Below are 11,298 nucleotides of genomic sequence, written 5' to 3'. Positions count from 1 at the left end.
TAGGGTTGACGGGAAGGCGCTGCCGGGCTCCTAGCTTCCCCAGGCCCGCCCCCTCTGATGACGTCTCCGCCCGCCCCTTGACCCCCCCACGGTCCCGCCCCTTCCTACCTTCCAGTAGCCGGCGGCGGTGTCTCAGGCGGCAATGGAAGGATCCGAGCCTGTGGCCGCCCATCAGGGGGAAGAGGCGTCCTGTTCTTCCTGGGGGACTGGCAGGTGAGAGGACGAGAAGGGCGAAGGTGAGGGGTCGCGGGTGGGACCCAGGCTCCGGGTTTCTGCTTCTTTCTTTCCGGCGGGCTGGGGGCGCCCGAGAGGCCGCGGGGCCGAGCAGAGCCGGCCCTGGGAGGCGAGGGGCGCGCGCGGAGTGGGTGTGGCGACGTGGGCTAGGGCCTCTGCTGTTGCCGGCTTTCCTGAGGGAAAAGTCCCCTTTCCGCACCTTTGAGGGCTTTCTCAGTTCTGGCTGGGATTCGGGATCCTCCTTCCTCCAAGTCACCAGACTTGGGGGGCTCCGGTCGAGAGCGAGTTCTGGTCTCGGTCACTTGGCGTGAGCTTCCCCGACTGGTGCCAAGCACCTTTCCTCCTTTCCGTAAAAAGAAAGCTAGGAGCGCCACTGTGCACCTCCACTGAGATCCTCTTTTGAAAACTATTACCAGAAGGAACTTGGTAAGAATGAATCAGTAGCAATCTGGACACCCTGAGGCCTTTGTTGACTTCGGAAGAAGGAAAAAAAAAAAGCCAGGAAAAAAAAATACACAAGTTACCCATTCTTATTTCCCACTTGGTTTTGAAGTTCTTCAGGTCTTTCCCGCCCCTGTAAAATTAGGGGGAAAATATTTGTGCTAGGCCTTTACCAATTTCTTGGTTAGTAGTTCCTCTTTCAATCATCTCATAATTAATAAAGCAAGTGGTTACATTCTATCCACCACTGTCAGAATACACCATGCCAAAGATAGAATTGATGGATGTATTATTTTCAGCTGATGTGAGACTTTGTAAACCTGTAGCCTTTTCGCCAGTTTCAGACTGAAGGGATGCTTTCAGTTTCATGGTGTTGTCTGCCATTGCCAACACTGCCAGAGTGGAGGGATATTATGTAATATAACCCGCGCCTTATTTGAAGCGTTTTTGATTGTCTTATAGATCATATTATTTTTACATATTTTTGAAACATTCCAGTGAGGCACAACTTTCTGAAAAGGGCCAGTCACGCCATTAAGTGGCAGAGCTAGTTAGACTGCAGCTGTTCTCGTTTTTATTCAGATTTACCCACCAGGCCTATTGCCCCCGCCATGCAAGGAAAACAGCAAGTGAAAGTGTACTAGGGATAAAATGATAGGAAAGTAGATAATAAAAAACTTTGGCCGGGCGCAGTGGCTCAAACGCTTGCAATCCCAGCGCTTTGGGAGGTCGAAGCAGGCGGGTCGCTTGAGCTCAGGAGTTCTTAGACTAGCCTGGGCAACATGGCGAAACCGCGTCTCTACAAAATACAAAAAAATTAGCTGGGCGTAGGTGATGCACGCCTGTAGTCCCAGCTACTCGGGAGGCTAAGATGAGAGGATCGCTTGAGTCTAGAGAGATCGAGGCTGCAGTGAGCCGAGATCGTGCCACTGCACTCCAGTCTGGGTGACAGAGAGAGACCCTGTCTCAAAAAAAAAGAAAAGAAACAAATTTTGTTAATTTTTATATTTTGTTACAATGCCCAAACAGGGTATATTGTGTATGTGTGTGTTTTTTATTAGGTAGGTGATCTCTTAGAACACAGCTATCTTCTGATTTGCCTTGGTAATTGGAATCAGTTTTTTTAATAGCTATCCGTTTAATTAGCTAGAAGCTGGTATCATTTGATATGTGCCAGTGTTTGGTGAGATAAATGATAACATTTTAATTACCTTTGTTTACAAATTCTTTGGCTTATTTATCAATGCTAGGACTAGAAAGTTGGATTCCAAGCCTGAATTTGATGCCATCGCATTGTTTTTAGAATCTTTTAATTGACAACTAGAGCTTCTCAGAACTAGGAATGGCCTCCACTTCTGCCAGTATATTGATCTCAGCTCTCACAGTGGTTCAGCTCCAAATGCTCCAGACTGGTTCCCTGTACCTGGGAATTATCTCTGCTTGCCAGTGTTTAGTACAGATACGTTTTTTGAAGGCCATGCTGTGAAAATGGGACGAGCACTGCTATAAATAATATGTTACTATAATAAGTATACTTTGTCAGATTTGCATATTTAGATTAGTTTTTTTCCTTTAAAATTTATTCATTTAACAGGGTTTTTTTGTTTTGTTTTGTTTGTTTGTTTTTTGACAGAGTCTTGCTCTTGTCACCCAGGCTGGAGTACAGTGGTGGGATCTTGGCTCACTGCAGCCTCCTCCTCCCGGGTTCAAGCGATTCTCCCACCTCAGCCTCCCAAGTAGCTGGGAATACAGGCGCCTGCTACTACATCTGGCTAATTTTTGTATTTTTAGTAGAGACAGGGTTTCACCACGTTGGTCAGGCTGGTCTCGAACTCCTGACTTCAGGTGGTCCGCCTGCCTTGGCCTCCCAAAGTGCTGGGATTACAAGCATGAGCCACCGCGCCCATCCCATTTAACAGGTTTTTTTAAGTGTTTCCTTTATGTCTAATATCAGAAACAGTAGGCAGTATGTGTGGTAGTCAAGAGCTAGACTGCCTGGGTTCAGATCCTGGCAGTGCCATTTGCCTGCTCTGTGACTTTGGGCAAATTTTAAGTTAACCTCCCTCAGCCTCTTTTTTCCATCTGTTCGTTGGAGATAGCAATAGTGCTTGCCCACTGTTTGGACAAGGTTGTTGTAAGGGTTAACTGAATAAGTACATCTAAAGCACTTAAATATGTAGCACAGGGTTATCTATTATTATTAAATGCCTGGTACTGTTTTAGGTATTTGGAATACAGTAGTGAGTTTTTAACAGACCATACATTTTTTTGGTAGTAGTGGCAGACAGTTAACGGTAAGTGATTTGAAGAAACTGACAGGTTAATGAGTTAGGCAGCAACCTAAGGATAAGAGTAGCCATTTTATTGATAGGGTGATCAGGAATGAGGTGTGTGGTATTTGTGACACAATATTTTAATAGAGGCTTAAGTGACAAGAAGTCAGCTATTCCGAGATTTTAAGAAAGAACATTCTAAGCAGAAGAAATAGGTAAAAACTCTGAAATGAGAGCAAGCTTGCCTTCTTGCGAAACAGCAAACAAGTCAGTGTGGCTTGAAGATAGTAAGCGAAAACGGAGACTGGTGGGAGTTGAAATTGGAGAGATAATTGGGAGACAGGACACATTGGCCCTCTCAAGCATAGTGAGGTGTTTGAATTTTGTTTTAAGAGTAAAGGAAATCCACTGAAGGGTAGTCCAAATTCAGGGAATAATTTCTGACTGCATTTTAAGATATTTAGACTGTTTTATGGAGAATAAAGGGGAAGGGCAATACTGGAAATAAGGAGACTAGCTAGGTCTTTGAAATAGCCCAGGTGAAATGTGATGATGGTTTGGCTTGAGATTGTACTGATTGAAATAGTAAGAAATGATCAGGTTTGAGATATCTTATGAAGGTAGAGCTAACAGGTCTCAGATGGAGAAAACTGGGGAATGATTTAAGCAAGAAGATCCCTAGATTTCAGGCCCAACCCAGTAAATGATGGTAGCGGAAAATGAGTTAGGAAAGACAGGAAGAATAGATTAAGCAGGGGTAATTGAATTCTCTTTGGAGTTTGTTATGTTTGTGATACCAGTTAAGACATCAGAATAGTTATTGTTTTGGCAGTTGTATACAATCTGGAGGTCAGAGGAAAGATCACACGTGGAGAAATAAGTTTCAATATAATCAATATATATTCATCAATAGGATTGAATGAGTTTATCTGGGAAGACTGTATATATAGAGAAAGTTCATGGTACAGAATTGCTGAAATACAGATCCATTAGAATATATGTACCAAACAGGCGGGCACAGTGGCCCACGCCTGTAATCCTAGCACTTTGGGACGCTGAGGCGGGTGGATCTCTTGAGGTCAGTAGTTCAAGACCAGCCTGGCCAACATGGTAAAACCCCATCTCTACTAAAATTACAAAATTAATTGGATGTGGTGGTGTGCACTTGTAGTCCCAGCCACTTGGGAGGCTGAGGCATGAAAATCGTCTGAAACCAGGAGGTGGACGTTGCAGTAAGCCAAGATCGTGCCTCTGCACTCCAGTCTCGGTAACAGAGTGAGACTCCCATCTCAAAAAAGAAAACAAACAAACAAACAACAACAACAACAAAATATATATATATGTATTTATGTACCAGTGATAAAACAACACCTGAGATCTGAGAATAAAAGATGATGAGCTCTGTAATCTTAAAATTTACACAGGATAGAACAAGCAATCCGATAATTTAATTTCAGGCCATTTAAAAAATATAAGTAAAGTGGTTGTTAATAAAATATATGTTTGGTTTGTGAAAACCTTTAGTAACTGGTGAATCTGATCACACAAGTAATCAAATATTACATTATAAAATGTGAATATTTAATAACCATGTTTTTTTTTCCAGCACAAATAAAAATTTGCCCATTATGTCAACAGCATCTGTGGAAATCGATGATGCATTGTATAGGTAAGAATCTCATAGAAACTGAAACTTATTTTCCCCATTAATTGTTCTCAAATAATCAAGTAGTCTCTTTGAAGATACCATTCAGCCTATGCAGAATTATATGTGTGTGTGTGTGTGTGTGTGTGTATGTATATATGTATGTGTGTATATATATGTGTGTGTATATATGTGTATATATGTATATGTATATATATGTGTATATGTGTATATATATGTGTGTATATATGTATATGTGTGTGTATATATACACACATATATATAAAGAGTTCCTCTCAAGTTAAAATTAGGGTTTCTGTGATTTTTTTTATCTACATTCGGATAATATTTAAATCTCAGTTGTTTTAGGTTTAGGTGATAGGACTAAGAAGGATTTTGCTGCCCTTGCAAAATAACCCTTTCATTTTTGGACAATAATACGTATTTAAGTTCTTGATAGTGCAGGAGTTGATGAAGAATAATATTTCACTTTAGTCATACAATAACATCTAGAGAATATTACTTCATTGTAATCTCATTAAAATATTTCCTGTTCTGTAATTTATAGACAGTGGAGAAATACTGTGTGATTGAAGAGTTGTAATTTGAATGGAATTTGATGGGACTTTTAAAACTATGCTTTTTCAGGAAATTGGAATACTTTTTTAGTAATTAAAGTATTGTATGATTGAATAGTTGTGATTTGAATGAAATTTGATGAGACTTTTTAAACTATACTTTTTCATGAAATTTGAATACTTTTTAAAGTAAAGAAAAAGATGCAGAGTCAATAATGGGCACTTTATTAGGAGCTAATACATACCATCTGGCATGTTGAGTCCAAATCCTGTTTTGTACTCTATGCTTGGGAAAAGAGATAGAAGACTAACAATCTTGCTCATGTGAAAATTATTTTAAAGATGATTTCTTGATTATAAAATATGGTTTAGAAGTCACCTTAAGTTGTTGTATAAGGGTTAACTGAATTAGTACATTTAAAGCACTTAAAACAGTGTGTAGCACAGGGTTATCTATTATTATTAAATGCCTGGTACTGTTTTAGGTATTTGGATTACAGTAGTGAGTTTTTAAGACCATACATTTTTTTGATAGGAGTGGCAGACAAACAGTTAATGGTAAGTGATTTGAAGAAACTATGACAGGTTAATGAGTTAGGCAGTGACCTAAGGATAAGAGTAGCCATTTTATTGATAGGGTGATCAGAAATGATGTGTGTGATATTTGTAATACAATATTTTAATAGAGGCTTAAGTGATAAGAAGTCAACTATTTCAAGATTTTTAAGAAAGAACATTCTAAGCAGAAGAAATAGTGTAAAATCTCTGAAATGAGAGCAAGCTTGCCTTCTTGCAAAACAGCAAGCAGGTCAGTGTGGCTTGAAGATAATAAGCAAAAAGGGAGAGTGGGACTCTTACGTTGGGATTCTTAATCTATAATTATATTCTTAATGTCCTTTTGGTCATGTTTTTCTTGGTTTAACAAATGGCACCTCTTTGAGATAGTATTGACTAATTTTATTCATTTTTTAGTTTAATCCTTGTGAAACTTTTTTAATGTCCCTCCAACCCTATAATGCTGATAAACATAATTTTCAGTAGGCCAGTGACTAAACTTTCCATTTACAATGCTACGTAAGTAGGCTGCAGTTTGCTTTACTGAGAGTTATAGAATATAGCAGTTTAGCTGTTATTATTAGAGGTAAGCCATTTTCTTTTGTTTGACGGAGAGTATCTTTTGGTGTAGCTGTTAGCACTTGGTATGCGTGTCTTATTGCAAACATCTAGTTGTTTACCAATGTGCATATTTGAGTTTTAATATCTTCCTTAAGAATTTGTCATAGTGAGGGCAGGAAGCCAGAAATTTATGTGGGTACTAAAAGAGTGAATTATTAGGGAATACTAAAAGAGTTACTGACTACATATAGGTTTTCTTAGTAGAAATACAAAGATGTGGCCAGGCACAGTGGCTCATGCCTGTAATCCCAGCACTTTGGGAGGCCGAGGCGGGTGGATCACGAGGTCAGGAGATCGAGACCATCCTGGCTAACACAGTGAAACCCCGTCTCTACTAAAAATACAAAAAATTAGCCGGGTGTGGTGGCGGTGGCGGGCGCCTGTAATCCCAGCTAGTCGGGAGGCTGAGGCAGGAGAATGGCATGAACCGGGGAGGCAGAGCTTGCAGTGAGCTGAGATGGCACCACTGTGTTCCAGCCTGGGCTACAGAGCAAAACTCCATGTCAAGAAAAAAAAAAAAAGAAATACAAAGACCAAAATGCCAAAATGTGAGATTTTCACACAATAACCAGCTCTTATTTTCTTAGATTTTAAAAATTAACTTAAATGTTTGAGGGTTTTTTTTTTTATAGTGACTGAATCTGAAGATTTGGTAGTTTTGTATTTTTTCTTTTTTTTTTTTTTTTTTTTTTTTTTTTTGAGATGGAGTCTTGCTCTGTCATCCAGGCTGGAGTGCAGTGGCGCGATCTCGGCTCATGGCAACCTCCGCCTCTTGGGTTCAAGCAATTCTCCTGCCTCAGCCTCCTGAGTAGCTGGGACTACAGGCATGCACCACCACACCCAGCTAATTTTTGTATTTTTTTTAGTAGAGGCGGGGTTTCACCATGTTGGCCAGGATGATCTCAGTCTCTTGACCTCATGATCTGCCCACCTTGGCTTCCCAAAGTGCTGGGATTACAGGCGCGAGCCACCGTGCCCAGCTGTATTTTCTCTTTTTAAAAATCTGTATCTGTTGCTTATGGGGACTAGTATAAGACCTAGGACTTTGGACAATGATTTATTTTAGGGACAAGGCATGAAATGAGGATCCTTAGCCTCTTAATATCTCAGGGAGATAGATTTCATCAGTAAGCTTGATGAAGGTAGGGTAAGATAAAGATAAATTCCAGAAGTTCTCTTTTCTCTCCGTTCTCTTTCACACAGCCACAGTTCCGACCATTTTGTCTCATAGTACAAGTCCAAATACTATAGCTTACCGAGTTATTTTGAACATAACTCCAACTTACCTTCTAAAAAGTTATTATTGTAGTAAAAACACATAACATGAACTCTACCCTACTAACAAGTTTTTAAGTGTGTAGTATAGTATAGTTGACACTTGAACAATGAAGGAGTTAGGAGTGCCAACTCCCCTACCACCCTACCTCTTGTGCAGTCGAAAATCCACATATGACTTTTGACTCTCCCAAAGCTTAAATGCTAATAGCCTTACTATTGACTGGAAATTTTACTGATAATGTAAATAATCAATTAACACACATTTTTAATATTATATGTATTATATACTGTATATATATATATACACAGTATTCTTAGAATAAAGTAAGCTAGAGAAAATAAAATGTTAAGAAAATCATGTAAGAAAGAGAAAATATATTTATTGTTCATTAGATGGAACTGGATTATCATAAAGGTCTTCATCTTTGTTGTCTTCATGTTGAGTAGGCTGAGGAGGAGGAAGGGGAGGAGTTGGTTTTGTTGTCTTAGGGGTGGCAGAATCAAAAGAGGTGGAGGCAGAAGGGTAGGGAAAGAGAGGCAGGCACACACAGTGTAACTATGGAAATATGTAACTACTATGTGACTTTTTTTGCTTTCTCATTTCTGGAAAAATGTTTCTATACAATACTGATCCTCCTGTCATTTTCTTTAGTTTCTTTTTGGTGCCCCTGTTGTAGAAGGGTCCATGTCATTAAAGAAATCAATGCAATCTTGAATCGTCGGAACCCTTCTGCCAGATTGTCTGATGTCAGTAACAACGATAGCATCTTCAATGGTATAATCTTCCAGACTTTAATGATGTTCTCTTTCTTGGGGTTCTCTTCCATAGCATTGACAATCCTTTCTATAGAGTACCTTGTGTAATGAGCCTTAAAGGTCCTTTATGATGCCCTGATCTAGAAGCTGAATTTGAGATGTTGTGTTTTGAAGCAAGTAAACCACTTCAGCACCTTCATTGTTGAACTTTGGGGTTCTGGGTGGCCAGGTGTATTGTCCAATAGCAAAAGAACTTTAAAAGTTCTTGCTGGCAAGGTACTTCCTGACCTCAGAATCAAAGCATCAATGGAACCAATCCAGAAAAAGGGTTCTTGTCCAGGCCTGCTTGTTATGTAGCCGGAGGACTGGCCGCTGGTGTTTATCTTTTCCCTCCAATGCTCAGGGGTTAGCAGCTTTATATGTAAGGGCAGTCCTGATCATAAACCTGAAAGCATTTGCAGAAAACAGTAGAGTTAACTATCCATTTCTGCCTTAAATCCTGGTGCTTGCTTCTCTTCCTTACTAATAAATGTCCTTTGTGGCAATTTTTTTCAAAATAGAGCACTTTCTTCTACATTAAAAACCTATTCAGGTAGATATCCTTTCTCTTCAGTGATTTTCCTTATGGCGTCTAGAAACTCATTGCTGCCTCTTGATCGGCAGAAGCTGCTTCTCATGTTGTGTCTGACTTTTTTTTAAGACAAACCTCTTTCTAAAGTTATCAAACTATCCTTTGCTGGCATTAAATTCTACAGCTTTACTGCTTGGGTGATGGGTGCACCAAAATCGCACAAATCACCACTAAAGAACTTAAGTAACCAAACACCACCTGTGTACCCCAGTAACCTATGGAAAAAAAAGAATTCTACAGCTTTATATCCTTTACCTTCTTTTTGCTTTAAGTGGTCTTATAATGACTTCGCTTTTTCTCAAATCATGTTAGAGTCTATGACTTTCTTTCAGCAATCCTGCACCCATATCAGTGCTGCATTTTCAATATAAGATAAAAAAATCTTTCACAAAAAGTGTAAGGTTTTCATACTTGCTGGTGTAGTTACAATGATGGCTTTTCTTTTTTTTTTTTACAATGGTCCTTCCACTGGATTCATTTTATCTTGAAATGTCAGGCAACCATAGCTGCAGACCTCAGTCTACAGTACATAATCAAGCAATTCAACTTTTTATTGTAATGTCATGACTTTTCTCAGCTTCTTGGGAGCACTTGCAACATTACTGGTGGCACTTTGTATGGGTCCCATGATGTCATTCAAGGTTTACAGTATTGCACATTAAACATGATGAAAAAATATGCAAGAATCTCAAGACATCACTTTTTCCTGCAATATTCAATTTACTGGAGAGAGGAACTGCTCAGGCAAAGATGAATAGAGTCACATGTGCTTTAACCAGATACATCACTTAAGCTCACCACAATAGCAACTGGAAGTAGCTACAAAATTATTACAGTAGTGCAGTATGTACTACAGTGACTTTTATGCACTTATGACTGAATACTGCATCTTTACATCTGTTTACATTCCTCTTAACTGCAAATGGCGACATCTATGGTCTGTAAGTGTACGCATAGTTTTGATAAATTTTAACTTTTTATAATTTGTGTATATTTTATGGTAGTAAATGATAAAATAGACTAATATGTACATAGATTTCATGCATTCATGACATTTTCTTAATTTTTGGGTATTTCTAGGCTACAAAGTTCATCCGTGAGTTTTTTTCAAGTTGTCACAAATGTCCAAAAAAATTTTCAGTATATTTATTGAAAAAAATCTGCATATAAATGGACCTGTGTGTTTGAAACCCATGTTGTTCACGGGACAACTATATTTTTAACTCTGTGTACATTGTCATATAGCAGATCTGTGTAGCAAATATTTCTTCAAGATCTTGTTTCTAATTCTTTTGGAGAAATAACCCAAAATGGAATTGCTGGATTATGTGGTAATTCTATTTTTTAATTTTTGAGGAAGCTTCATACTGTTTTCCATGGCAGCTGCACCATTCTACATTTCCAACAGTGCACAAAAGTTCCAATTTCTCCACATTGTTGCCAATACTTGTTATGTTTTGTTTTGTTTTGTTTTGTTTTATAATGGTCATCCATACAGGTGTGAGGTGATCTCTCATTGTGGTTTTGGTTTGTATTTGATGATTAGTGAATGTTGAGCACCTTTTCATATACTTGTTGGCTATGTGCATGTTTTTGGAGAAAGATCTATTCAAACTCTTTGTCCATTTTTAAAAATTGGGTCAGTTCAGGGGTTTTTTGGTATTGAGTTATAGGCATTCCTTTGGATATTATTAACCCCTTATCACATACATGGTTTATAAATACTTTCTCTCATTCTGTAGGTTGTCTTTTGATTTTGTTGACTGTTTCCTTTACTGGTTTTTAGTTTCATATAGTCCCACTTGACAATTTTTGCTTTTGTTGTGTGTGCCTTTGGTGTTATCCAGGAAATCTGTGCCAACACCAGTGTTATGAGGCCTCTTTCCTGTTTTCTTCTGGGAGTTTTATAGTTGCAGATCTTACATTTAAGTCTTTGATTCATTTTGATTTGATTATTTTGTATGGTATAAGGGTCCAGTTTCATTCTTTTGCATTTGGAAATCTAGTTTTCCCAGCACCATTTATTGAAGGCCCCAACCACCTTTTCCTCTGAATACACTGGCCATACTAGACTACTTTTTTATCAAAGATAAGATAGGTAATTGCAGTTTATACCTTTTTACCTCAACTGTCTGTTCCTGTAATGCTCTTTTGTGCCTCAAAAATACCTTCCAGTGATCCTTTAAGAACTCACTCCTATGTCTGCTCTGTGATATCTTGCCTGAGTTACTTCTCCTCCTTTCTGCTTAGCCCTAAAGCATCTTATTTTTATTGCTATTAAATAAG

General features: G+C 38.8%; 1 protein-coding gene across 3 annotated transcripts in view, besides 2 other annotated features; it reads left to right on the top strand.

Annotated features, from left to right (window-relative positions):
* Window positions 14-83: a silencer, noted in NCBI's record as "silent region_15465". NCBI's record gives its function as "represses an Ori minimal core promoter by ATAC-STARR-seq in GM12878 lymphoblastoid cells {active_cell/tissue: GM12878}" and the evidence as "EXISTENCE:reporter gene assay evidence [ECO:0000049][PMID:35858748]".
* The window catches only part of UBA6 (ubiquitin like modifier activating enzyme 6), an 88,504-nt gene continuing 77,312 nt past the window's right edge, over window positions 107-11,298 (top strand). For all 3 annotated transcript variants that reach the window (NM_018227.6, XM_017008359.3, XM_047415893.1), the window contains exons 1-2: window positions 107-213; window positions 4,555-4,617. In NM_018227.6, the coding sequence (NP_060697.4) occupies window positions 143-213; window positions 4,555-4,617 (134 nt within the window). In that variant the 5' untranslated portion in view covers window positions 107-142. The remainder of the gene's footprint in view (window positions 214-4,554; window positions 4,618-11,298) is intronic.
* Window positions 214-383: a silencer, noted in NCBI's record as "silent region_15464". NCBI's record gives its function as "represses an Ori minimal core promoter by ATAC-STARR-seq in GM12878 lymphoblastoid cells {active_cell/tissue: GM12878}" and the evidence as "EXISTENCE:reporter gene assay evidence [ECO:0000049][PMID:35858748]".

The sequence above is a fragment of the Homo sapiens genome, chromosome 4, assembly GCF_000001405.40.
Source record: "Homo sapiens chromosome 4, GRCh38.p14 Primary Assembly".
Lineage (NCBI taxonomy): Eukaryota > Metazoa > Chordata > Mammalia > Primates > Hominidae > Homo > Homo sapiens.
Note: the sequence above shows the minus strand (reverse complement) of the source record. Positions and strands in the feature narration are given on the sequence as shown.